The sequence below is a fragment of the Homo sapiens genome, chromosome 3 (genome assembly GCF_000001405.40).
Source record: "Homo sapiens chromosome 3, GRCh38.p14 Primary Assembly".
In the NCBI taxonomy this organism is placed as follows: domain Eukaryota; kingdom Metazoa; phylum Chordata; class Mammalia; order Primates; family Hominidae; genus Homo; species Homo sapiens.
In genome coordinates, this window is record NC_000003.12 from 134,302,785 (window position 1) to 134,330,234 (window position 27,450).

The 27,450-nt window shown below is 47.2% G+C and overlaps 2 long non-coding RNA genes across 2 annotated transcripts, besides 6 other annotated features; one reads left to right on the forward strand and one right to left on the reverse strand.

The window, feature by feature from the left end:
• Window positions 5,683-5,977: a silencer, noted in NCBI's record as "tiled region #8229; K562 Repressive DNase unmatched - State 12:CtcfO". NCBI's record gives its function as "represses a minimal TATA promoter and a strong SV40 promoter by Sharpr-MPRA in K562 cells {active_cell/tissue: K562}" and the evidence as "EXISTENCE:reporter gene assay evidence [ECO:0000049][PMID:27701403]".
• On the forward strand, window positions 10,792-18,387 carry LINC02004 (long intergenic non-protein coding RNA 2004). Its single transcript, NR_146711.1, has 2 exons — window positions 10,792-10,833; window positions 18,136-18,387. It is a non-coding gene; the product is annotated as a long intergenic non-protein coding RNA 2004 (long non-coding RNA).
• Window positions 10,931-11,504: an enhancer, noted in NCBI's record as "H3K27ac-H3K4me1 hESC enhancer chr3:134032557-134033130 (GRCh37/hg19 assembly coordinates)". NCBI's record gives its function as "activates a minimal SCP1, AML or CMV promoter by ChIP-STARR-seq in primed H9 embryonic stem cells {active_cell/tissue: H9 hESC(primed)}" and the evidence as "EXISTENCE:reporter gene assay evidence [ECO:0000049][PMID:30033119]".
• Window positions 18,388-22,236: 3,849 nt separating the features above from the next.
• Window positions 22,237-25,910, reverse strand: LOC105374118 (uncharacterized). Its single transcript, XR_924518.4, has 2 exons — window positions 24,430-25,910; window positions 22,237-23,743 (listed from the first exon to the last, which is right to left on the reverse strand). It is a non-coding gene; the product is annotated as an uncharacterized LOC105374118 (long non-coding RNA).
• Window positions 24,143-24,437: a silencer, noted in NCBI's record as "tiled region #684; K562 Repressive non-DNase unmatched - State 22:ReprW". NCBI's record gives its function as "represses a minimal TATA promoter and a strong SV40 promoter by Sharpr-MPRA in K562 cells {active_cell/tissue: K562}" and the evidence as "EXISTENCE:reporter gene assay evidence [ECO:0000049][PMID:27701403]".
• Window positions 24,143-24,437: an enhancer, noted in NCBI's record as "tiled region #684; HepG2 Activating non-DNase unmatched - State 8:EnhW". NCBI's record gives its function as "activates a minimal TATA promoter and a strong SV40 promoter by Sharpr-MPRA in HepG2 cells {active_cell/tissue: HepG2}" and the evidence as "EXISTENCE:reporter gene assay evidence [ECO:0000049][PMID:27701403]".
• Window positions 24,143-24,517: a biological region, named in NCBI's record as "Sharpr-MPRA regulatory regions 684 and 10996".
• Window positions 24,223-24,517: an enhancer, noted in NCBI's record as "tiled region #10998; HepG2 Activating DNase matched - State 8:EnhW". NCBI's record gives its function as "activates a minimal TATA promoter and a strong SV40 promoter by Sharpr-MPRA in HepG2 cells {active_cell/tissue: HepG2}" and the evidence as "EXISTENCE:reporter gene assay evidence [ECO:0000049][PMID:27701403]".
• Window positions 25,911-27,450: the final 1,540 nt, after the last annotated feature.

Sequence of the window (27,450 nt, forward strand, 5' to 3'; positions counted from 1 at the left end):
TTGAATTTTGATATTTTCCAGGGTTAGCAATATGCTGTATGATACTCTCTTGCCATGCTGGGCAGCTGCCAGTCAGCCACATAATCAGCAGAGTAAACAACTGGTACTCTACAGTGTACTGTGTTGCCCAACTGCAGGCTAATGTAAGGGGTCTGAGCACATTTAAGGTAGGCTAGGCTGAGCTATGATGTTCAGCAGGTTCGGTGTATTCAATACTTTTTGACTTATAGTATTTTCAGCTTAGGATGGGTCTATCAGGATGTTAACCCCATCAAAAATTGAGAAGCATCTGTACTAATTGCAGCTAAATGCATTTACAGAATGTAACTCCCTGGCTGGCTGTCAGCACTATTTTTCCCTTTACTTCATCAATGTTTATAATATTTACATTCTGTTCTGTTCCTTTTGTTTTGTCTACAGATTGGGTCTAAGATATTAAACCCCATATAAATAACATTATTGTAACATGCAATTATGATTTTATATTGTATAATTATTTGCTGCAGGATCAAGTAGCATGGCTGCAGCTCTGAAGAAGAAAATGATCTTCAGTTATTAAGTATCTGCAGGCCAAAGGAGAATGTCCCACGTATCAAAATGTAAACTAGTAAACTAGCTCATTTTGTTCCATGTTTATATTTCTTCGCATGCTCAGATTCTATTTCTTAAAAATCTCACTTACTCTTTTTGGAATTACTTTGTTTTAGTGAGACATCTCCTTGAGTAATTTCTTCATATGCAGTGCATGAGTAGTAAATTTTCTGACTCCCTGAATTTCAGAAAATGTCTTTATTTTGTCTTTCCTTTGGGTGGTAATTCAGCTGACTATAGAATTCCAGATTCAAATTAATTTTCTTTCAAAACTTGGAAGATGCCGCTCTTTGTCTCATAGCATCTAATTGGTGTAAAAATCTGATGTCAGGCTGAAACTTATTTATTTATACGTACCTATGTTTTTCTTTCTGGAAGCTTATATGATTTTCTCTTTATTCTTGAAGTTCTGAAATTTTACCCAAGTGCATTTATTTATTTAGAGATGGAGTTTCCCTCTTGCTGCCCAGGCTGGAGTGCAATGGTGCGATCTCGGCTCACCGCAACTTCCATCTCCCGGGTTCAAGTGATTCTCCTGCCTCAGCCTCCTGAGTAGCTAGGATTACAGGCATGCTCCACCACGCCTGGCTAATTTTGTGTTTTTAGTAGAGACAGGGTTTCTCCATGTTGGTCAGGCTGGTCTCGAACTCCCGACCTCAGGTGATCTGCCCACCTTTGCCTCCCAAAATGCTGGGATTACAGGCGTGAGCCATCGCACCCAGCCACCCAAGTGCATTTAAATGTGATATTTCTTTACTCATCCTTATTGCCCTCAGTGGGTCCCTTAAAACAACTCAAACAAAACAAAATACTTATTTGGCTTAGTACCAAAAAATATTTCGAAGCAAACAAAGATGGCTCACAATACCACCAGCCAGATAACTCCAATTAACATTTTTAAAGCATAAAATAAGCCAGGTGTGGTGGCCCATGCCTGCAATCCCACCACTTTGGAAGTCTGAGGTGGAAGGATTGCTTAAGCCCAGGAGTTTGAGACCAGCCTGGGCAATTGAAGGATGAGAATGGGTGGAGAAGAACTTTATTGAACAACAGAACAGCTCTCAGCAGAGGGGGGATGCAGGGGGTAGTCCCCCACCCCCACAGTTAGGTGGTTTCTCTCCCTGTGTGGCTGGGTCCAGGGCTTTTCATGGACTCAGAATGGGGAACGTGTGCTGATTGGTTTGTGAGTATGCAAAAAAGGTTAAAGCAAGGATATCACTCAAGGGTGGGCACAACAGTGTAGAAAACCAATTAGGAAAGGGTAGGTATATGTCAAATAGGTGAAGGGAAGGGATCAATCAGGAAAGCATGTCAAACGGGATGACAGGTTCTCAATCTGGTCTGTGGATTTGACTTGTAGCTTGACTTTCAGGCTTTAAACAGTTGTTTTTGGCTTGGAGGTGGGGTTTTACTGGGGATCCATCCCTATCTGCCTAGGTTCTTGCCTGCCTCCTGCTGCTATCAATTATAGATATCTTGACATACTTTAATGAGTTTATGCAAGGGATGAATTCCTAATAATGACAGTGCTGGAATAAAGAGCAAGGGCATTTTAAATTCTGATTTTTTTTCTCACCAATTTGCCTTGCGCAAACTCAGCACCATTGCATTCTCAGTAACAGATTATCAAAGTGCTGATTCTCCATTTACTTATTAATATTGGGTAATTTCAAGGTTTCAAAGTTTTACCCATCTGGGTAGGTGAAAACATCGGTGTTTTAATATGCATTTTTTTTTTTAGCTGTGTGTGTGGCTTATATTATTCCCTGTGTTTATTGGTCATCAGTGTTGGTATTTGTTTGTTTTTCTTGATTTCCCTATTCATATTCTCACCTTCAATGGATCCTTTTCTCTGATCATCTGTGTCTTTCTTTGCCTTAGGAAAATGTCTTTTGGTTACTTCCTCAGTTGTTTCCTCCCCTCCTGGATCCAGACATCTGGGTCTAGATTTATTTTCATGTTATTTTATTTTATCCTATGTTTTCCATCTCTCAGTCTTTACACTCTGCCTTAAAGGAGATATTTTTCAACATTATCTCCCAGACATTCGGCTCTCTTTTCAAAAATTCTAGATTATTATTTTTGAAAATCAAAGTAGTACATGAGGATTGTTTTATGAGCAAAATATAGCTTATATAGTTTATAGTAAAAATCACACTGTCCCACAATTTCTTATTCCTGTTCCTCTCCCTAAACTTTTTTTTTTCTTTTTTTTTTTTTGAGTTGGAGTCTTGCTCTGTTGCCCAGGCCGGAAAGCAGTGGTGCTATCTTGGCTCACTACACCTCCGCCTCCTTAGTTCAAGCGATTCTCCTGCCTTAGCCTCCCAAGTAGCTGGGACCACATGCGTGTGCCACCACACCTGGCTAATTTTTGTATTTTTAGTAGAGACGGGGTTTTACCATGTTGGCCAGGCTAGTCTCAAACTCCTGACCCCAGGTGATCCACCTGTCTCAGTCTCCCAAAGTGCTGGGATTACAGGCGTGAGCCACTGTGCCCAGCCTCCCTAAACTTTTAAACTGTTATTTTCCTGGTACTTACTGCCGTACTTCTCAACTCTAGATGTTATCTTTTGATTTCCTATCATTGGAAGACAAAGATTCAGTGATAACACCACCACCATGTCCCTACTATCATTTTCTGCATCCTGCTATGATAGTTATGTCCCAACTTTTTGTTAAATTGTTACTATTTTTTGGATAAACATGTGAGCTCAATTCATGGTTGAGTCCAAAAGTCCATTATGATTATGTCTCCCTTTATTTTTTCCTGGAGTTAATAGTTGTTTGTTTATTTATTGATTTGTCGCTTAGTTTTTATGTACCTTCTAAACCCTCCTAATGGAAGTGAAAAACACTTTTGAATTTGGAAGAGCCCTTGTCCGTGAACTGGCTCCTTCCTTTGTTTCTCTCCTTCTTGAGGTACAAGGACAGAGCCAAGAAAGACTGATTAGAGTGTTAGGCAGACAAGAGAGTCAGGAAAAGGGTGGAATGTTTCCAGGTGCCTGACAAGGAAAAGGGAAAACAGATCCACAGGGATCTAGGGAGCTGGAGCTTTTGAAATCAGTTGTTTGACCTCAGAATGTCTCTACAGAAACAGCGTTTTCCATGGTGGGTGGTTCCCAGCTCGTCTCCTACTCCAACTCACTCCCAAGCTGAACAGCTGTACAGGACCTTTCCAGAAAAGTTGTAAGACTGGGCCGGGTGCGGAGGATCATGCCTGTAATCCCAGCACTTTGGGAAGCCAAGGCGGGCAGATTGCCTGAGATCAGGAGTTCGAGACCAGCCTGGCCAATGTGGTGAAACCCCATCTTTACTAAAAATACAAAAATTAACTGGGCGTAGTGGCATGCACCTGTAGTGCCAGCTACTCGGAAGGCTGAGGCAGGAGACTCTCTTGAACCCGGGAGGTGAATGTTGCAATGAGCGGAGATCACGCCACTGCACTCCAGCCTGGGTGACAGAATAAGACTCAAAAAAAGACTGTAGCAGTGTTGTTTTCCAAGTTTGCAAGAAAGTAGAAACATTGAAGCAGCAACAATTTTGCATTTACCTTGAATGGCAGTGCTGGAGGCAGAGGGAGTATTAATGTTTTGTGCTTGGTGGAGATAGCAGTGGGCCAAAGACAAGCCCTGCATCCCCCTAGAGGTGAATATGGGTGAGATGGACAGAAGAGAAAAAGAATCCAAGGGGGAAAGGAGATTATGAGAAAGGAGAAGCCTCAACTGGGCAGAAGCCCTTCCCTGACCTTAGTACCCAGCCTTCTCCACCCCTGATTTTGCTAACCCTGCCCAGCACATAGTAGGTGTTTAATAAGTAATATAAGTAATAGGCTCTGTGAGGTCAGGGCACTTCTCAAGGGTGTGAGGATGAATATCCACAAGTCAGAAGTCTGTAATTTAGGGGTGGTTGGGAAGCACAGCAACAAATGTTTCACGTATTTTGATCTTTCAATTCACCTGTGCAGATGCGTAAATTCTTCTGGATTGCGGAAGAACTGATTGTTCCCTAAGGGCCCTGTTTGGGGTTGGCAGATCTTGCGTACCTCTTCTGGGCCACCAGACCCTCTCTTTCTTCATCACCAAACCCAGGAAGGGCTCATATCCCGTTCTGCAGGTGTGGGTAGGAGAAAGCTGGGGGAACACCCAGGGGTTACTAGCTTTTAACAAAACCACATTTTAGTTGGCTGGAATCCTAGTCATGAGCAGGGATGATTACAGAGGGCTCACCTCACACCTTGTCCTGGCTTCAAATGGACTGAGTGGGCCCAAGCATGTTCCAGAGAGCTTAGTGGTGATGCAACTCCCGCAGGCCACCAGAGCACAGAAATCCTTACTCTGCCTGGGCCTGGCTTTGTGTGTTTTCAGTTGTTCTGTCCTGGTGGCTTTGGGGAATACAATTCTTAGTCCTCAGAACACCAGCCTACACTAACTCTGCTGTTTAACACTTGCCTCTGTTTGAATGTTTTGTGATAGTTGTTTGCTAAAGTTTGTTAACCTTGCCTTGCACATATTAGGTGATCAATAAGTAATTGTATGAATTAATAAACTCTGATCCTTTCTCAGGGTCTAGCTCTGCAATATGCCTGGAGAATAAGTGACACTGCTTCCCTGCTGTCACCACTCCTTCCCTCTGCGATGTATGCTGAGCACCTTCCAGAGCGCTCTGCATTTCCATGGGGAGGGTGCTTGTGCACACACACACAGGCTCGTACTCACTACACCTGTCCAGGACGTGTTCACTGCTCCTCCGTGTGTGTTAGCTCAGGAACAGGAGAGTTCCTGTCCACAACCTCTCACTATCTCTCCAGGTCTGTGTCTAGAAAGATGTTTCAGTTGCCTTTCAGTGTCTGCAGGCATCAACATCAAGCGTCATGACCAACATCATAGCAGAGGTCCTGCCTATGTGCTCGCCACTGTTTACTGCTTTTCATTTATCCTTTCATTTGCTTCTAGCAACAACCCTAAAAAGTAGGTCTGATTATCCGATTTTAATGCTGAAGATACTGCGACTCAGAGAAGCTAATTTGCCCAAGATCACACAGATGAGCCCAGATACCACCCCAGGTCTTTGCAACACATCGCTGTATAAATAATTACGCCATTATACTAGAGCATCAAAGCGAGTTCAGCAAATAGTAAAGGAAGGAGCCGGGGTTCTGAGGCACTACATGTTAGGGCCACCAGGGGACGCTGTTTCTCTATACTTGGACCAGGAACGCAGCCACTCCCCTGCAGACCTCAGGAATGCAGCCTGAGTGTGGCCTTGGGAACACAAGGGAGTCCCACAAATTCACACCCAGTAGGGCCCACCCCACCTTGCTTCAGCACAGTCTTCAGCCCACCCTCACCCCCACAACTTGGCAGGGGAGCATGGGGAGGCTGGCGGTTGCAGATACCAAAGTAGAAGTCTGAATTGGAACATGTGATTCTTCTGCTCTGTCAGAAATTCTTCCAGTTGTGGGGCCTGGCCGCCTGATTTTCAGGGAAATGGCTAACTGCTGGGGCGCTTCTGATAGCAGAAAGCTTTTCAGAGATGGGCTCCTGGGGTGAGAGGATCCTGGTTAGGTCAGTGGCCTCCAAATTGGGATATGTAAGATGATCTGTTGGGGGTGCAGGAAGAAAATAACAGAACCTTTATGTGAGTATTTATAATTTTAATCTAAAAATAAGAGCTGATGCGGTGGCATGGGTCTGTAGTCCCAGCTACTTGGGAAGCTGAGATGGGAGGATCGCTTGAGCCCAGGGGTTTGAGGCCAGCCTGGGCAACATAGCGACACCCTGTCTGTAAAATAAGTAAATAAATAAATGACAATGTGACTTCATTTTTTTTTTTTTTTTTTTGAGACAGTCTTACTCTGTCGCCCAGGCTGGAGTGCAGTGGTGCAATCTTGGCTCACTGCAGCCCCCACCTCCCTGGCTCAAGAGATCCTCCCACCTCAGCTTCCCAAGTAGTTGGGACTACAGGCGCCCGCCACCACGCCCAGCTAATTTTAATGTTTTATATTCAGATTGGTGCTGGCTCTGTCACTGGTTTGTATTTCAAATAGTACTGAGTCGGCAAAGTGTGTGTGGTGAACTGAGAGAAGAATGGGGGTGCCCTGACAGGAACAAGCCTCAGCACAGTTGGCTTGCTCCTGCTGGATAGGATTTCTGCTGGATATACCAAACCTAACTAGATAACACATAACTGAACCACAGTCATCCTCACGGAATTGACAAGTAACTTCTAAGGATTCCTATGAAGAGTCCAAGGTTTGATGGTAAAGCGATCAGTATCTGCATGTTCGAACCAGACGAAGATGCCTGAGCTGCCACTTCCACTTTTTGTGGGGACTCTTAGCTGCATTATGACATAAAAATGACATTCTAAACAGACCTTTTAGGGCACTCATCTCCCAAATTTAAACCTGTCAAAATTATTTGAAATTATATCTATTATCACTTACAATGAACCTTGCTGTAATAATAAAAAATCGCTGTGCCTTGATACAGTAATAGCCAGTGACAGCAGCACAGGTACATGGTATGTCAGGGGTGCAGGCCAAACCCTATTTGGGGGTGGAGGCACAGATCAAAAGACCACTGGAGTATGCCGCAGCCAACAGTTCAGCGTTCCTGTCTTTACCATTCTTAGTTTGTTTTGGGCCAAGGGCCTGAGCTGTTAGGTTTGTGAAGACTTGCTGACATTGCTTAAGGGCTAGGCATTGGAACTATGACCCTTGGGGACTTTGGTTTCAATTCCAGTTGAGGCATTTCAAGTCAGGTGGTTTTTGTTTGTTTTTGGTCTACTTTACAAGTGTCCAATTCCTGTAACAGAAAGGAGGGGAGGAAGAGAAAAGGGAGGAGGAAGGGGGTGGGAGCCTTCCACTGCGTGGTGCTCTGTGGCACTCCCTGGAGTGTCGACTTTGTGGGCATTTCCCCATCTTGCACAATGGAGGGGCCTCCCTCTAGATCCCGTTCCTTAAGTTCTTCCTTTCAGGGGCAGATTTAAAAATCTCGTGGGATTTGTCTGAATCTTGACAGAAAGATGGTTCTTATTTATTTTCTTATTCTGAGACAGGGTCTTACTCTGTGAGTGCAGTGGTACAATCACGGCTCATTGCAGCCTTGACCTCCCTGGCTCAGCGATCCACCTCAGCCTTCCAAGTAGCTGGGACCACAGGCATGTGTCACCACGCATGGCTAATTTTTTCTTTCTTTTGTAGAGATGGGGTCTCATTATGTTGCCAAGGCTGTTCTCAAACTCCTGGGCTAAAGCGATCTGCCTGCCTCAGCCTCCCAAAGTGCTGGGATTCCAGATTCGAGATAGTGAAATGAACTTTCTAAGAGGACTTCCTGAGAGCAAATGTAAGGTTGTCTGTATAAGTTCCTGTCAAAGCATCAGGATTCCTTAGGACGATTTTTTAAGCATGTAGAGTCCTGGGCCTCACTTATGGCCTCCCGGCTCAGACTATCAGCTGGCCCAGGAAAAAGAATTTTCACCAAACCCCTCTGCCCATGCCCCACAAACTAGGGATTTTGAGAAACGTTATTCTGTATAATGACATTTTTGAAAACTCTAGTCTTTCAAAGAGTTTATTATTTGAATTAATTTCTCTTAATATGGGATAGGGAAGGCCTGGGGGTCGTTTATTCATTTTAAGCACAAGGATGAAGTGAGACTCCGAAGAGGTCAGCCATTCACCTAAGTGTGCGGGAAAGGTCATGGGAGATGGGGGCTGGTCCTCCCTTGGGGCCAAGCCCTCCCTGCCCAGTTCTGCTGCACACACTGGACACACCTGAGTGTGGGGAGTGCTATGACACTTCACACATCAGTGAGGAGGGCCCTGACTTTAAGCAACTCCAAGAGAAGGGGCTGAATTTCTGAGGCCAATTCATCATCGAAACCAGACCCCTACCTGGGCCCAGTGGGAAATTATAATCCCACTCATCTTCAGAAAGGGACCTTGGAATGGAAGCCTTAAATGCTATTCAGTCCAACCACATGACTGGCAAAATCCGTGGAGGTTCTTTAGCAAAACATCAGCACAATGGCATGTTGGCTGCAGAATACTAAAAAGGACTCTAGGCTGGGCATAGTAGCTCATGCCTGTAGTCCCAGTTACTCAGAGGCTGAAGCAGGAGGATGGCTTGAGCCCGGTGTATGAGGCTGCAGTGAGCCAGGATAGCACCACTGTACTCTAGCTGGGTGATAGAGGAAGACTGTCACCAAAAAAAAAAAAAAAAAAAAAAGGACTCTAGAGGCCAGAAAGTTTCTTCTCCTGGCAGAGCCTCCTCCCTGCCCCTACTTCCCCTGGAGAGCAGCTCCTTCCAGAAGGCCCACCCAGAGGTGGGTTCAGTACCCCTCGTGGTCCTCAAATTGCACACTGGGGCTGCTTTTGCCTTGTCATTTATCACTCTGCACTGAAATGGCCAGGAGTCTGCTTCCCGCAGGGGACCGTGAGTCTCTTGGAGGTAGGGGCTGGGTTCAGTAAGTGTCTGTAAAATGAATAGGGTCCTCACTGGGGCTTCTCTTGTGTCTGACTTAGTCATCATCACCTCGAGCACCCTCACATTCCACTGAGGCAGAGCCTTGGCACTGCCATTTGATGAACTGCCAGGGTGGTGTAAAATGTCTAGAATGTCCATCTTCTGTGTCATGGGGAAGAGACAGACCTTGAGCGAGGGCTACAACCTCAAATCAGGGCTGCATGGCCACTTGCCACCTGGGCACTCTGGGCCTACCTCCAGATATTGCAGGCCACACCCCTGCCAGGTAGGAAAGGAGCCATTTTATTTTCCTGCTCTCAGAGGTTACGAAACCAACCAAGCAAGGCAAGTCGGCCATCAGGCTCAGCCTCCCATGAAGCGCTCCTGACTTCCCACCCTTCCTCCAGGCCAGGAGTCTGCCAATCACAATCTGGGTTCTGTTTTCCCGCCTTTCCTGGCAGCACAAACCACGGCTCCGGATGGTGAGCAATGCAAGTTCCAGGCATGCCTTGCTGCATTACTGGGTTCCCAGGTGTCACTTCATCCAGAGGGTGAGTCCTTCACAGGTCTGTGGGCTGATAAACATGCAAATTTCCCCACGCAAATGATGTTAGGCCGTGGCACCTTTCCCACTGAGAAAGCGCCCTGTCAACAAGCTGGGAAAATGGGTGAAAGCCCATGCTTTGCCCGCCCTGGGTAGCACACACTGGCCAAGAATCTGGGCAAGGCCCCCTGCAGGGGCAAGCGCACATCGCACACTCCCGCCTCGAGTCCCTGCGGGAAGGCAGGGACTTCCGCAGGCCTGTGGTCTGGCTTTAGGGAAAAGTCCATTTGCTCACTTGATTCCGTGGTGTTTCCACGTGAGCGCAGCTGTGTGTGTCAGCTGATGTGTGTGATCTGAGTGGTTTCTATACCGTCGTGGAAACCCCCAGCCCAGTGGTTATGGACTTTCTTGGGGCCTCAACTCTCCCCAAGAGCGTGATCCTCACTACGGGGGAGCGGCGCTTTATCCGGCGGGGCGGGTGGACACTCCTACAGACCCACTTTGACCCATTTTCTCACAGTTTCCAACCCAGAGCCGCAGGGACAGGGGCGGACTGCGTTTCCTTCCCTGAGCCCTCCGCAGAGCCTCTGGGCAAGGCGGGCAGGGCCCAGGCTGCAGCGGGGCCTCCGGCCCGAGGCGCCTGCGTGGGAGCCGACCCTAGGCGCCGGGAGCCCCGGCGGGAGCTCCAGGGGGTGCGGGCGTTAGAGAGGGCTAGGGCCGCGCCCAGGCGGGGTGCGGGGAACCCGGGAGATGAAGCCGCCCAGGGGCGGGGGTGTTTGTCACCAAGGTTCTGAGGGGCCGTGGAAGGTTTTTACCTGTTTTCATTGGGAGCAAATAACAAAACTAAAAGCGATGGAGGAGTGGGGCTGCAGAAATGGAAGCAGCAGTGTGGGGAAGCCGGACGCTTCCCGGGGAAGAGGGAGAGGGGACGCTCAGATCCAAAAGGCGGGCTGGGAGCGGAGTGGGGCAGCCGCCGGGGGGCGCCCGCAAGGGCTAGGGCTCGGGGCCGGGTTTGGGGGCGGGTAGGGGCGGGCAGGGGCGGGGCAGGAGCCGGGGCTGCGAGCTGGCCGCGGCGCAAGGAATGCGGCCTTTGGCTGGTCCCGGGCCGGCATTCCGGCCGGCGCAGGAATGTGAGCAGGGTGTTCACTGCGCGCTCTGAGCGCACAAGTTTGTTCTCCTCTCCTTGGAGAACGCCGGCCCGCTCTGTGCCACCCTCTCCCCAAGCCCCCGGTACGTCCGTCTGTCCGGGTGGAGGACAGGGCCCCGAGGGCCGCGACCAGGAGGGACTCGCAGGAGGCACCGGACAGGGGTGCGGCGAGACCAGTCGCGCTGGAGGAAAGGAGGGAAGCCCGCAGTGGTCCGCTGAGGCACTGAGAAAGCCAGGCCAGTAGCTCAAAGAGGAGATAGGACGTGCCCCTCTCCATCATCAGCCTCAAGGGGCACAGGGTTCAGATCCCAAAATGTGCCCATTTAGGGGGCACATTGTGAAGGGCAAGACCTGGGGAGAGAAGAGGGAAAGCGGACAATCTAGTTTAGGATTAGGTGCTTTCTGATCGGCCAGGGAGTGACTGAATACCTAACAGCATTTAACTCATTCAACAAATATTTGCTGAGCCTCTGCTCCGTGCCAGTTCCTGAGATTAATTCTGGGGGCACAGAGGTGAAGTCATCCTGTCCTTGAGGGGCTGACATTCTGATCCTCAAGACAGTCTCTGAAACACCGAGGGAGAGTTGGGGGAAGCCCAGGGTGTGGGGGAACACCGAGGAATAACACAGATTGGGGGTGGAGATCCAGGAGGGCTTCCTGGGAGAAGCTGCAGAGTGACACGGAAGATCAGTAGGAGTCAGCCCAAAAGATGGGAGAAGAGTATTTTAGACAGAGGGAACCTTATGTGCAGAGGAAGAGCCTGTGCTGCGATTGGCCCCCAAACAGAGCATAAGTCTGCTCCTGGCCTCTCCCCATGCCTGCCAAAGGCCCAGCTGAGTCACAGTAAGGGTCAGGGTGTCCATCTCAGTCCACTCATGATGTTGGTTGGTCTATGGAGCCCCTCTTCTGCGAGAGGCACAGCAGTGGCCCGTGAAGAGTGAGAAGAGAATCAGGACTCAGCACGCTGCTGTGGGAGTATTGTGGGGACTGATAGATAATGCCCATAAGCATCTGGTGTGGGGCCTAGCACCTAGTAGGCGCTCTGTGTACATTGGCTGGTCTCTCAGCACCTTGCCTGATTGACTGACTCCTCTTCCCCTTCGTAGTACTGATTTCTGGTTCCGAAAAGGCAGCTGTCCAGCTCTTCATCCCTGCGGAGGGGCCTTCCCAAGGGGAAGACCATGTGGGTCTGGTCATGGAACTTCCTGCTTTTTGTCCTTCCCTGATTTGGGGGTGGTAGCATGCAGGACATGAGACTGGCATGGAAGAGGGCATCATAAAGATCCTGGAATACATCCAGGGCACCCAATGCTGTGGGCAAGGAGGAATTGGAGCAGAGAAGGACCTTGCTTGCAGGTGCAGCATGGGAGATTGGCCCATGGGCTGAGAACAGGATGAATGAAGCAAGGAGGGTCAGGGCCAGGAAGGCTGAACTTGGGCAGTATCCAGAAAAGGACTAATGGGAGCTCGGAGGGCAGGGACAGAAAGCAGAGCTGGGAGGTTGTCACTGGGGTGGTAGAGGAGATCAGACCCTTCAGCTGATTAGCTGAAAGGTGGGGCCAGGACTGTAAATCTCCTACTAGATCCTCACTCGGCTTGGGTCAGTATGGATCTGAGCACATGAGGCCACACGGGATCTTAGTCTCTGTGTGTCACAAATGTCACTGAGTGATGGAACAGAAATGTTTATATCCAGAAGTTCTTTGTCCCATGAATGCACTGGGACCTAAATTCTTATGTGCAGAGGAAAAGTGCAGGCCTTGGAATGGCCTCTCCAGCATTGTTCCTTGGCAAACACAGGAAGATGGGTTTCCTTTAGCTTTGTGGTGCTGACATCTGAATCCGGACCCCTCCCCCAGCCTTTGGGGTCAGGGAGGGAGGCAGAGGACGAAGCAGTCGATGGAAAATAAACAGCCACCTCTGCTTTTTTGACTTATTTCATGTTCTTAGAATTTCCTCTCTTGGATTCTGGCTTTGTTATTTTAAAATTCCACACGTTGGTTAGGGTTGAGAAAACCCCCTGTTGCTATTGCTATGGAGAGGCAGCTCTACGCTGGGGGCACAGAGTCTCGGCACCCCTGGAGAAGTAAGCCGGCCAGCGGGCCTGCAGCCCAGTCTCCAAGTGAGTTTCTGAGTCAGCCTGTGCGAGGGAGGCTCTTGGGGCTGGGTGTGTGTGCCGCCTCTGTGTGAGCATGTGCTAGTCACACAGCTGGGATATGGCCGTGTTTTGGTTCCAGCTCTTTGGGCTAGAGCCACGCCGCAGTAGTGATAGCTCCATTTGGGGACTTCCAAAGGGGGTTCCAGGTGGGCTTGGATAGTGCATAAACTGAGAGGGCAACTCCAGCCCACTAGAGCCCTGCCTCACGCCCACACACACATGACTCAGACTGCTGCCTCCCCTGGACTGTGCTGTGGACACCTGGTCCTGTGCTGTCCTTCCATTAAGGCCTCTGCCTTTCCTCCTCCTCTCTTGACACCCATTCCCTTTTCCTTCAGGGGATGTGTACAAAAATTTAGGCACAAAAATAATCATTGCAGTGTTTCCTTCCTTCACCAATTCATTCATTCATTCATTCATCCGTCCATTCAGTCATACAACAAATATTTATTGAGTGCTTACCAGGCACCAGGCATTGTACTGGATTCTGGAAATACAGAGACAGAGAAACTGGAATACTGGAAACAACTCAAGGATCCCAACATTTAGTGGCATAAAGTATGGAGTATCTACATGACACAGGGCTGGAATGAGGGTGAAGCAACTGAAGTAGGGGGTACCCCAAAACCCCATAATCAAGACAAGTAATATTTTAATGCAACTTTTTAAAAATAAAGATTAATCCATGGTGAACCAAACATCAAAATTTTAAATAAAGTCAGGATCAGTAACAGTTCTGTGCTAGATCATATTTAGACCCCAGGGAAAGGAAAAATTAGTCATACAACACATTGACAGAATGTCATGCAAACATTAGAATATGTCGAGGAAGTTTGCTTATTGACGTAGAAAGAAACTCATGGCATATTGTTGAGTGAAAAAAAGGGAAATTACCAAGCCATATATAAAGTATAAGCCAATTAAAATATATATCTAGGTACTGGAAATGCTGAAAAAGCCTATGTCCAGATGTTAACAGCTCTTTCCTCTACAATTAACAGTTATGTTTTTGACTTCCTTTCGCCTATCTGTGTTTCCTGGATATTTTAATGACAAAGATGTAATATGTGTATAATTTTCTCAAATTTTTTTTTTGTTTGTTTTTGTTTTTTTTTCTGAGATGAAGTCTTGCTCTGTCGCCCAGGCTGGAGTGCAGTAGTACGATCTTGACTCACTGCAACCTCCACCTCCCGAGTTCAAGTTATTCTCCTGCCTCAGCCTCTTGAGTAACTGGGACTACAGGCGCATGCCACCACACCCAGCTAATTTTTGTATTTTTAGTGGAGACGGGTTTTCACCATGTTGACCAGGCTGGTCTCGAACTCCTGAGCTGGTGATCTGCCTGCCTCGGCCTCCCAAAGTGCTGAGATTACAGGTGTGAGCCACCGCGCCCGGCCTCAAAGATTTTTTTTTAATACAACAGGAGCATTGGAGCAGAGTATGCTGATCTGGAGAGACTCCCCACATCACCCCACTTCTCAATGTTGAGACTGGGGCAGGTCTGGGATTACCCTCTCACTTCCTCCATGAGAAAGCTGAGGCTCGGTGAGGCTGAGGCATGTGGTGGCGCCAGCCTCTGAAGGCAGGCGAGTCTTCAGGGTCCACATTGCCCCATAGGATGGCTGCGGCTCTTGTGTGCCAGCTTATGAACTTTTTCTGTCTTTCCCTTCATGGCCCAGCTGCTCTCCACTGGCCTACCTCTTCCACTGATGTTGTTTTTCAACTGAGAACAGAACTGCAGGAAGAAAGCCTGGATAGATGTGCCTAGCCCCATCTCTGGGTCCTCAATGAATGACAAGTGGGCTTGTGAGTGACTGAGTGAGGGAGTGAGTGATTCTGGTTAGAAAGTATTTCCAATGTTGTGTTGTTCTCTTTGGCACAGACATACCCTGCAGACTGGCATGAATCATAAGTAATTCCCTAAAGCCCCCATCTGCCTGGAAATGCCTAGTGGTATTTCCCATAGTTCAGAAGCCATCAGCCCTGCATGCCAGCAGGTTTAGCTATTCTCCACCCAGCCACAAACTCTTGCCCATCCCCTGGGGAGAACACTGGAGGGAGAGGAGCTTGAGGGAGAGGAGCTTGAGGTAGAGGTGACACCTCTGGAGACTGCAGTCATTCTGGGATTTTGCTCACAGAAGCCTCAGGGCTGCGATCCTCCCGGTAGGCTGTTTGTGACTTAGTAGGCCTTGTGTCTTAAGCATGATGCCTGAGGGCCAGAAGAGAAGCCCTTTCTCCCTCTCTTTTTTTAATTTATTATTATTATTTTTTAATTATACTTTAAGTTCTAGGGTAAGAGGTGGGTTCCCAGGCTTCAGCTCTCTCTCAGCAGCATGTGGTCTCAGCTTGTCTACTGAATGCTGAGAAGCAAGAGTGCTCTTGGTTCTAAGTGTGGGTATAGCAGGTTGTATTTCTCAAAGATGGTGGTGACAATATTGCAGCTAACTATGGCTACTATGTAGACATAACTAAGTTATGGCCAGTGACATGCAAGTGGAATTATTGTGTGTGAATATCTGCAAAGATGTCTTCAAAGGGAGGTGAAGTGCCTTTCTTGTTCCTTTCTCCATCCTGCCGCCTGTAATGCAGATGTGATGACTAGAGCTCTAGCAGCCTTCTTGGACAATGAAGACTTGGGGTGGGGGGACGCCTTAACAAATACCAGAAACCCAGAAGCTATGAAATAAAAGATAAACATATTTGGCTAGATTAGAATCTTAAATTTTTGTGGCAAAAGATAGCACAAAGAATAGATGAACAGATTTGGAAACCATACTTATAAATCAGAGGACAAAGGGCACAAAGAACATTTACAAATTGCCAAGAAAAAGATAAAAGATTCAATAGAAATGCAATTTATGGAATGGCAGTTTCAAAGAGCCAAAAACATATGAAAAATCACTAGCAGTTAGTGAAATGGTTAGGTCAGCTTGAAAAAAATAAAAAGACTGGGAATGCTGGTGGACCTGCAGAGAAAGGGGTATTCACGTACAGCGTTACTTGAAATGTGACTTTCTCTAGCCTTTAAAAAAGTCAATTATGTGGCCGGGTGCAGTGGGTCACGCTTGTCATCCTAGCACTTTGGGAGGCCAAGGTGGGTGGATCACCTAAGGTTAGGGGCTCCAGACCAGGCTGGCCAACATGGCGAAACCCCATCTCTACTGAAAATACAAAAAATTTGGCCAGGCACAGTGGCTCACACCTGTAATCCCAGCACTTTGGGAGGCTGAGGTTGGGGGATCATGAGGTCAGGAGATCGAGACCATCCTGGCTAACATGGTGAAACCCCGTCTGTACAAAAAATACAAAAAGTTAGCCGGGCGTCGTGGTGGGCGCCTGTAGTCCCAGCTACTCTGGAGGCTGAGGCAGGAGAATGGCGTGAACCTGGGAGGCAGAGCTTGCAGTGAGCTGAGATCGCGCCACTGCACTCCAGCCTGGGAGACAGAGCGAGACTCCGTCTCAAAAAAAAAAAAAAAAAAAAAATACAAAAAATTAGCCAGGTATGGTGGCAGGCACCTGTAATCCCAGCTACTCGGGAGGCTGAGGCAGGGCAATTGCTTGAACCTGGGGGGTGGAGGTTGCAGTGAGCTGAGATCACACCACTTTACTCCAGCCTGGGCAAAAGAGTGAAACTCCGTCTCAAAAAAAATTAATTATAATTATTACATAAAATTAATAATTTTATATATTATAACCTGTACAAATTATATATCTATAAGTATATTTGACCACCAGTTCAGTCCTTTTCATCTGTCCTCAAATATCTGTACAGGATAATGTGTATTACAGTATTGTTCATAGTGTCCAAAAATTGTAATTAAAGTGAATGCTGACCAGGTGCAGTGGCTCATGCCTGTAATCCCAACAGTTTGGGAGGCCAAGGTGGGCAGATCACTTGAGGTCAGGAGTTCAAGACCACCCTGGCCAACATGGTGAAACACCATCCCTACTAAAAGTACAAAATTAGCTGGGTGTGGTGGTGCACGCCTGTAATCCCAGCTACTTGGGAGGCTGAGGCAGGAGAATTGCTTGAACCCAGAAGGTGGAGGTTGCGGCTAGAGTGCCGAGATCACACCACTGCACTCTAGCCTGCATAACAAGAGCAAAACTCCATCTCAAAAAAATAAAAATAAGAAAATAAAAAATAAAGCGAAGCTGAATAAATTATGGGGCATTTATATTTAGGAATGTTACGCATCCATTAAAAAGAAAGAAGCAGAGATAAACCAGTGATTAATTTTTATTAGATATTTATGAAAAAGAAAAGCAAGATAAGGAGAAGTATATACATCATTTAGGTAAAACAATGATTTAAAACCTATGTGTGTATATGTATGTTTTGTTAGTCTGAGTTCTGCAAGGATCGGTGACTAAGATGGAATTCCACTTGCAAGAGATCTATTGGAAAAAGCTCCTGTGAGTGAACAATGGGAGGTACATTCTCAAAGCTGTAGCATATTCACACACATGGCTATGTGTGTGTATGTTTATGTATAGATATACATATCTGTATATCATATATGTGAATACGTATTATATATGTTTATGTACATATATGGATATATGTATGCACATATCATGTGTATACATATGGCTCTGTCTGTGTGTGTGTATATGTTCATATACATTTGTATATGTAGGCATAGAGAAAAGTATGAACGGATATACACTAGGTTATTATAATACATAGGTTATGGGGAAGGGGAGTCTTACAAAAAAAAAAGAAGGAAAAATTGCACTAAAACCCCTCACATTTCAGACTTCTATATTCAGTTGTCCATACCACATTTGAAAAGTTTTAATACTTTATAAACTGAATTCCTGAGTTTGCCTGCCTCCTCTAATCAAACCTGCAGCACCCCCACCCCCCAGTCTGATTCCTGTTTCGTTCTACATGACCTGTTTTCTTCCTGCTGGAAGACTTTGGAATCTTTCCTTTATGCCAGGTGCTCTGGAATCTCCCCACCACTTCTCCTGCTATGGGTCTTGCCCCATTTATTGTATTGGGTACTTGATAGGCACTTAAATCCTTAGGTTCTGGAATCTGACAGCCTCACTTTGGGGCTCTGTTAGGGAGATGTGGCCGAGGAGGAGCCCGAGGGGCAGCTCTTGCCCCTTCCTGGGGAAAGGTGCACAGAAGGCTGATGAGGAGACCTGTGGCTTTCTCACCAATTGGCCCATATGAGTTCTTGCCACTGAGTCACTCTCATTATCTCCACTTTTCTAGGGAGGAGGCCTCGCCACCATGCCCAGAGCAGCACAGTGAGTCAGAGATGAAGCTCTTGTCCCACCTGCCCCAACCCTCGAGCCCTGCTTCCCAGGTCCGCATTCCCAGGCAGCCTGCCACAGCCAGTGCCAGCGAGAGAGTGGATCAGGCTTCAGGATAGCCCAGCACTGAGGACATCTAAAACAGTCTTCATTTATTTATTTATTGTTCATAGTGTCCAAAAGTTGGAATTAAAGTGAATGGCTGAATCAATTATGGTGCATTCATATTTAGGGATGTTATGCATCTATTAAAAAGAATGAAATAGAGGTAAACCAGTGATTAATTTTAATTAGATATTTATGAATAATAAAAGCAAGATAAGGAAAAGTGTGTATATTATTTAGGTAAAACAGTGATTTAAAATCTATGTGTGTATATGTATGTTTTGTTAGTTTGAGTTCGCCAAAGATCAGTGAATCAGTGACCAAGATGAGGTTCCATTTGCAAGAGATTTATTGGAAAAGCTCCAGGAAAAATGTGTGTATATGGATATTTTATTTCATCTAAAGTATATAGAATAAAATACCTTTAGATGGAATAAAATATCCATATTACTTTAAAATGTTTGGATTGAAATACAGTGAAGTGAAAATTCCCCCTCCCAGTCTGGTTGCCCTTTTTTTTTTTTTTTTTTTTTTTTTTTGAGACAGAGTCTCACTCTGTCGCCCAGGCTGGAGTGCAGTGGCGCGATCTCGGCTCACTGCAAGCTCCGCCTCCCAGGTTCAAGCAATTCTCCTGCCTCAGCCTCCCGAGTAGCTGGGACTACAGGTGTGTGCCACCATGCCCAGCTAATTTTTGTATTTTTAGTAGAGACGGGGTTTCACCATGTTGGCCAAGATGGTCTCGATCTCTTGACCTCGTGATCAGCCCGCCTTGGCCTCCCAAAGTGCAGGCATTGCAGGCATGAGCCACTGCGCCTGGCCTTGGTTGCCCTTTTTTAGAGGCAACTGGTGCTAGTTTCTTGTGTATACTTCAAGAGATATTTTAATGCAAAAAAAAAAAAAAAGGTAGATAATCTTATGGTCCACAATCCCTTATCTGGAAGCTTGGGGGCAGTTGTATTTTGGAGTTGGGAATTCAAGGAGTGTAGAAAGGTAGTATGTATATTCTATCACACTCCCAGCAGAGCCTGTGATAAAATACACAAATATTTCTGCACCAAGTAAAATAAATAAAGCCATAATCTGCCTTAAGTCAGTTGAGTTCAGCCAGGTTTTGCTACCAAATGTGTTTGTGTTATTTATTTATTTTTTAATTGTGTTCTTTGGAGATTTTTGAATTTTATAATTGTGGATAAGGGAATGTGGACTTGTTTTTGTGCTACTCTCCTTATTTAAAAACTTATGGCGGCATTCTGCACCTACTGGATCAGACTAAAGAGCTCTTTCATTATTATTATTATTTTGTATCCCCATAGTATTGCATTATACACATGCACCATTGCCAGCTTAGCTTGTTCATGGACATTTGAATTGTTTCCAGTCTTCTCCTCAATGGCATCAGTGCTGCAATGAATAACATTGTGTACTCTTTAGCACATGTGCAAGCATATCTGTAGGATAAATTCCTGGTAGTGGAATTGCAAGGTCAATTAATAATAATGATGGTTAACATCTGCATGGGTATTTACTAAGAGCTGGGAACTGTTGTAAGTGCTTTACAATAATTAAGGTATTTTAATCCTTGCAACAATCTCCTGAGGGAGATACTATTATCATTCCATTTTGCAGATGAGAAAAACTGAGGTACAGAGAAGGTAAAGGACTTGTAGAGCTGGAATTCAAACCGAGGTGTTCTGACTCCAGTCTGTGCGCTTAACCATTACATTCAACTGCCTTTTGAAGGTCATGGGAATTTGTAACTTAGAGAGACACTGCCAAATTGTCCTCTGCATGGCTTTACCAATTCACGTTCCCACCAGTAGCCTGTGAGCCTGCTTGTTTCCCCGCCAACGCTGCGCTGAATCAAACTTTTTGATCTTTGCCAATCTGATAGCCGAAAACGGTGTCTTACTTGAATTAAATGGTGTTTAACTTGAATTTCTTTTACTATGAGTCAGGTTGAGTGTCTTTTCACCTAAGGGTCTTTTGGACTTCCTTTCCATAAACTGTCCATTCATATCGTTTGCTCCTTTTTTTCAGTTTAGTTATATCTGTGACTTGTATTGAGCTTTTTATGTCTTAGGAAGATTAGCCTTTAGTGGTTCAAAAGGTACAGATCTTTGCCTAGCTAGTCATTTATGTTTTGATTTTGCTGGTGATGGGTTTTGGACAGAGTGTTAGGAGGAGACAAACAAAAGAAGAGGACTTCAGTGTTAAGAATTGAAGGGAGGGAGAGGACAGAGTAGATCCCTGGAAAGAGGTGCCCTCTGCCTGCTGAGGCGGCAGGGAAAGAAGGTGATGGGGATAGTGAGGAGGGCTCCTTATGGGGACTGGCACAGAGGGTTCAAACATGCTATGTGTGGCCCACTGAGACTGGAGGCTGGGAGGAGGGAGGACTTCATGACAGACACGAGGATGCGTTGCTCAGCTGTGCTGCTCCAAGATGCGTCCAACAGAAGACACATTGCCCCAGTAAAAGACTGCCCAGCTGTGCCGGGTGCAGTGGCTCACGCCTGTAATCCCAGCACTTTGGGAGGCCGAGGCAGGCACATCACAAGGTCAGGAGATCGAGACCATCCTGGCTAACATGGTGAAACCCCATCTCTACTAAAAAATAAAAAAAAAAATCAGCAGGGTGTGGTGGCACGCGCCTGTAGTCCCAGCTACTTGGGAGGGCGAGACAGGAGAATCGCTTGAACCCAGGAGGCAGAGGTTGCGGTGAGCCGAGATCGTGCCACTGCACTCCAGCTTGGGAGACAGAGCGAGACTTGGTCTCAAACAAACAAACAAACAAAAAAAAACTGCCCTGCTTCAAGGCTGTGCTCAGCTGGCAGCCTACCACTGTTGGCTCCTACAGGGTCTACTCAGCTTTTGGACCAAGTTTATGATTTTCTTTGGGTGTCCCTGTCCAATGACTGAGCAAGATGGTGGTATGAGGGCCCAGCCATTCCATCGTTTCCACATTTCCAACACAGGAGTCCTCTAATGGGCTGTTTTTGTTTTAGTTCACTGGATGACTGGCAGAAAGTCAGGCCTGCAGGTCTGAGAACTCCACTCTTACTTTTGCCCCATTTCATTCCCAGGCGTTACCCTCACCCTCTTTAACCTTGCATTCCTAACCCTATCTCAACATCAGCTTCCTGGAAAACCCAAGCAGCCCAGACTCTGAAATTCTTTTGGTAAAAATTGGCATACATTTTTTTAAGTCGCTGATATATATTTCATATTGTCTGAGCCTAAAGATTTGCTTGTTTTCTATCTGGTGGTGACTATACATATCCTTTGGCTTGTACATAAGGTGAAAATGTTGGGCTGTGTGTGAAGGCAGCTGAGGTTGGCCCTCCCAGCAACTGGGGGGCTATCTGACCTCCGCTCAGAGCCTGGAGCAGTGGCATGGAGTGGCCAGTTAGCACTGGGTGGAAGCAAGTCTTGGGTAAGGTGTGTAGGAGCACCTTCAATGCCAGCCCCAGGCCTGAGAACACACCACACAGGGAACGGGGCATAGAAGCATCTTCTTCGGCAACCGCAGGTGGACCTGATAGTGGCTGGGCCACATCTCCCAGCCCTTTTCTGCCTGGCCCTTTCTCCCCACCGCTGCTCTAGTGGCCTGACGGTGTCCTGCCCTCTGCATGTTGCCAGAGTGATCTGATCACACCACTTGTTAGTTGTAGGCTTTGGATGGTAAAACCTGGAATCTACCCCCTTGGCTCATGACTCAAGCCCATTTGTATACTGGCTCCTTCTCAGTCTCTTTTAACCATTCCTCCCTACACTCCACACTCACAAGACCTCTTGCCATTCTGAGAACCGGGGAGGGCTTTGTGTCCCTCTGTCCCCATCACTGCTGGTCTCACTGGCTGGAATACATTTTTGTTTCTCCTCACCCCTCAAGGCTCCTCAGTAGATATAAATGCATGTGTTTGGTTTGCCACATTTAAGTTTCCTCAAGAGACTGTAGTAAATATTTGAAGTGCTTTTAATTAGAAAATACCTGTCATTGCCTACTGCCCTGTGGAACTACCACATCTTTGAAGATGTTCAGTGCAGGGACTGGACCACCTGAGGATTGGGCTATATGGGTTATACATACCATCTTGGGAGACAGCCTGAGAGGCATTTCTTGGCCATTCTTCCTATACCATTCCTATCATATACATCTCTATCACCACAATCACTGATCACCAACAAAACCACTAATTTGAATCAGACATTCTTTCAACTCTCTTACCAAGATTGCTTGAAATGTTGAAATGCACTAGGATGTAAGTCAGCCAGAAAACACTAATTGAGCATATAATGTGGGCAGTGAATTGTGGTAGGTGGTAGGTCAGCAGGTTGTGAGAAAGCATGATGGACAACATAGTACCTGCCCCCACAGGAATGGATTGCTCAAATGGACGGGCAAACACCTGTCAGCTGATGGCTATGTATGGCTATGCAGGTCCTCAGTGACAGGGGCCCTTGAAGAAAGGCACTCACTGCAGCTGGGGCAGCCATGGAGGGCTCCCATCAGGAGGTGGCAATGGAGATGGATGTGGAGGAATGGCAGGGATTTGGAGAGACTAGAGTAGTGAAGAGGGCCTCTAGAGAGAAGGTAGCTTGATGAATCACTCAGGAAGAGCCCTACTTGTTTTGTTTGATGAGCCTGGGATGCATCAGATATCTCTTTAAAGCACTGGTTCTCAAGCATGGCTGAATATTTTAATTACCTGGAAATTTTAAAAATCAGAGACGCCTGGGTCCTACCTCCAAAGAGTTTGATTGGATTGTTGTGGGGTGTGGCATGGGCACTGGGACTTTGACAGCTTTCCAGGATGGTCAGGTGGTGAGAGCACTCTCCTGCCAGGCCTCCAGCTCACGCCTGTCAGGCTCTGACACTTCCCAGGTGTGCCTCTCACGCCCTCCTCCTGGGCTGGGGCCACCCCGGAAGGGGCGCTGGCCTCTCTTAAATCCCACTCATACACCTGGCCTCAGGTTCCCAGGAGGATTTCTCTGCCTGCTTTACATTCAAGCAGTTGCAAGGTAGTCCCCTGAGCCACAGGCTGCTTAGCTTTCCCTCTGCCTCAGTGCCCCTCTTCTGGCGCTTTCCTGGAGCTCCAAAGAAGCAGTGGATGAGTTCCGTGTGGTCCAGCTGTGGCCACTTCCAGAGGGCCTTGGGCTGAGCTTCCTGAGGGCACGTCTACACACACCCGCTGAGCAGGGGACCTGTGTGCTGGCCACAGAGGTGGCACCGGAAGGGGATTTTCTCTCGCTGCATTTCCTGGCATTGAGCAGCGCCTTTTGAGGTAGTCTCTGCTGAGTGGTCTCAGGAATGCCATTCCTCATTCCAGGGAATTCTGTAGGTGGGGCTGCTGGTCACCAGCCAGTGTGTCTAATGGCGAACATGCACCAGTCACAGGTTTGAGCCCCCTCCCGGAGGCCACGACTCTGTTTCCTCTTCAGCAGTGCAGCAGGCATTCGATCGGCTGCAGGAAAGAGGACGAAGGGTTGACATGATTTTCTGGCAAGAAAGATTGCTCCACTCGGGGGTTTACTGTCAAGGCAGGAGATAAAATGCCCTGGCTCTTGAGGCCTTTTCATTTAGTTATTAATTCAAAAACACCTTTAGGGATTTTGCTTTTAAATGATACATATTCTTTATTTAAAAAATACAAACAGCAATGTACCCAGAAGAAATGGAAAACCACTGGCTAGAGAAAACTACTGTCATCAATGCTTTCTGGGCCTCTGAAGAAGCCCATTTCTGCTGGCACTGAGTGTGTGTTTCTCCGGGCAGGAGCTGGTATAACATGACCCTTGAAAGCACTCGCAGCCCTGGGCTTACATAAGTAATGTGATGACTCTCTCCACAGAGCCCCTCTAGAGATCCCACCACTCCGCCCTCTTGGAAAGAACATTCAGTGTCTCCCACACCAGAACCCATCCAAGGAGAGAGGATGCCGAGGTAGTGGCTCATCTTCCTTGGTCCCAGAGAGGCCTCGGAGCAGTCCTCTCTTGCTTCACAGCCCTCCAACTATGCTAAGAATGCGAACCATTTCCCATGGGACTGGCAAAGCCATGAAGCAATTCTGAGCCCAACCTCCCCAAATATCTGCTTTGCAAACAGATAAAACAGAGAAGTATCCTGAAAATGTGCTGTTGGGCCATTCACCTTAGGCGGTTGTGGTGTCTGCTTGCCTGCCAGGAGGGTTTCTGCTTCCACAGTCCAGCCTGGAGCTGCTGGGGAGCCAGTTTGGGATGTGGCCATGTTCCCTGAGGGGCAAAACACAGAAAACTCTCCGGAAGGGGCTTCTCAAGGAAATGGGGACCAAGCAAGGCTGTGGGCTCTTTTCAGGGATCCGGCTCCCATCCCAGTGCTGGACTCATTGCTGACCAGTCCTTGGGGTCACCTGGGTGCCCTTTGGCTCCTGAGATGTCTGGGCATGGGGCTGCCTTCACCAGCTGCAAGAGCCCAAACCCACCTCAACCAGCCTTTGGCATCTCCAGTCTGCACCAGCTGCAATTTTGTGGCCCGGGTGGGTGAAGGCAGTGGCAGGGGAGTCCATGCCAAGCCTGGCAGTGGGAAGGAAGAGGAAGAGGAAGAGGACTTAACTTTCTCAGCAGCTTCAGCCTTCTGAGAAACTCTAGAATGCCTTGCTGCACTATGGCAGGCATAACCAGGTCCCGGTGACCTACATAACCTTCCAGACATGGGGCAAGTGGGAGCCCTGATTCATGTCAGGGGAGCCTGACAGAGGAAGGGTGGGGGCAGGGAGGATTTACAATCCTGAGACGGTGAAACCACCTAAATATTTAGTGATGACTAAGTGAGTCACCGCATGTCCACAGGGTGGAATATTATGTAAAAGTGATTATTATAATAATAAAGACTATTTAGCAATATTGCAAGTGTTTATGATATAATATTAAGCGAACAAAAGGAAGATACATACCTTTACGGCACCTGAACAAGAGAAGATTGGAAGGGGATTTTAAAAAATAACAGTTGCTCTGCTACAGTGGTGTGATTAGGGACCTTATTCTTGGAAAAGAAAGCAGCAGCTTTACAGTCAGACAGATCTGGACTAGTAGCTTAGATCTATTTCTTACTTACTAGAAACGATCTTGACAGGTGGCTTAAATGCGATTGGTTTTCCATCTGTAAAATGGGTACAGTAATTCCTGCTTTACAAAATTCTTGTGAAGATGAATCTGATTGTGCATCTCCTCCCTTCTTGCCTTCCTTTCTTCCTCCTCTCTCTCTCTACATATTTTCACTAATACTGCACAATCCAGTTGCCCACAAAGGATCCCACAGCTGAGTCATCCTTGGGTCTGCTGAAATCTCTTTTGCTTTAGGGAAGGTGCCTTTGCCTGTTTCTGCCCTAAGCGGAGCTGTGGATGAGGAGGGGCGCTAATGATGAAACAGTCCGGGTGGGCTTGGCAGGGGGAGGCTGGGCTGGTCCTCACTCTCAGAGCAGCCACAGTGCTGTGCGTTGCCAGCCCAAGCAAAGTCACAAGAGCCTTGAAGGTAGAAGCAGGAGTAAGGGAGCCTGCCTGGCAGATACCACACTGAGCAGAGCCCGCTCCTGTCTCTGCTTCCATGGCCTGACTCAAGCTCTCTTTTAAAAAATTTTATTTTTGTATTGACAAATACAAATCGTATATATTTATGGTAAACAACATTGTGTTTGGAAATATGTATACATCGTGGAATGGCCAAGTAGAGCTAATGAACATATGCCTTACCTTATACTAATCATTGTGTTGTGGGGGAGGTGGCGGAGGGGAAACGTGTAAAATCTATTCTCAGCAATTTTCAAGTATACAAAACATTCTTATTGTAGTCACCATAGTGTACAATAGATCTCTTGAAGTTATTCCTCCTAACTGAATAACCAACATGTTATTTGTATAACATGTTGTATCTTTTGACCAACATGTTCCCAATCCCTCCCAAATCAGACCCTCTTATCACTAGCAAGATCCATGGTTCCCCAGGCCTGAGTCACATGCCACTGGTGGGCAAAGACGTGACCAATGGCAAATGGACATATTCTTTTCTTCCCTCCCTTCCCCTCCCCTTCCCTTCCCTCCCTTCCCCTCCCCTCCCTTTCCTCCCTTCCCCTCCCCTTCCCTTCCCCTCCCTTTTCCTCCCCTCCCCTCTCCTCTCCTCTCTTCTCTCTCTTTTTTTTTTTTGTGATGGAGTATCGCTCTGTCACCCAGGTTGGAGTACAACAGCACAATCTTGACTCACTGCAACCTCTGCTTCCCGGGTTCAAGCGATTCTCCCGCCTCAACCTTGCGAGTAGCTGGGACTACAGGAGTGCACCACCATGCCCAGCTAATTTTTGTATTTTTTAGTAGAGATGGGGTTTCACCATATTGGCCAGGCTAGTCTCGAACTCCTGACCTCATGATCTGCCCCCCACTTGGCCTCCCAAAGTGCTGGGATTACAGGCGTGAGCCACTGCACCTGGCCTAATTTTTGTATTTTTGTAGAGACCGGGTTTCACCATGTTCGCCAGGCTGGTCTCGAACTTCTGACCTCGGGTGATCGGCCTGCCTCATCCTCCTGAAGTGCTGGGATTACAGGCATGAGTCACTGTACCCAGCCTTCCCTTCTTTTCTTTTTGTGAGACAGTCTTGCTCTGTCCCCCAGGCTGGAGTGCAGTGGCACAATCTCCACTCACTGCAGTCTCAACCTTCTGGGCTCAAGCCATCCTCCTGCCTCTGCCTTCCCAGTAGCTGGGACTACAGGCCCATGCCACTACCCCGGCTAATTTTTTATTTTTTGTAGAGACGCTGTCTTGCCATGTTACCCAGGCTGATTTCGAACTCCTGAGCTCAAGCAATCTGCCTAGCTTAGTCTCCCAAAGTGATGGGATTACAGGCATGAGTCACTGCTGCCCACACTTTTCTTTTAAGAGTGTGGCATTTTTATGCATATATTAGGGAAAAAATGAAGTGGTGGCTATAATGGTACAATAGAAGCAACATAAAATGGTTTAAAAATGAACTAGCATAAAGAGAAATACTATGTAAGAAATGGTTCGGGTGGTCCCTGATAGATCAGGAAGGAGCAGGGGAATGACTGAAGGGTGGGGTGCCTGTCCTATCCCCTTACATCCATCTTCTAACTCTGACCCAGCCTCAGTCTCTTCCAGAGTGTGCTCCTGTCCTCTTCCCACTA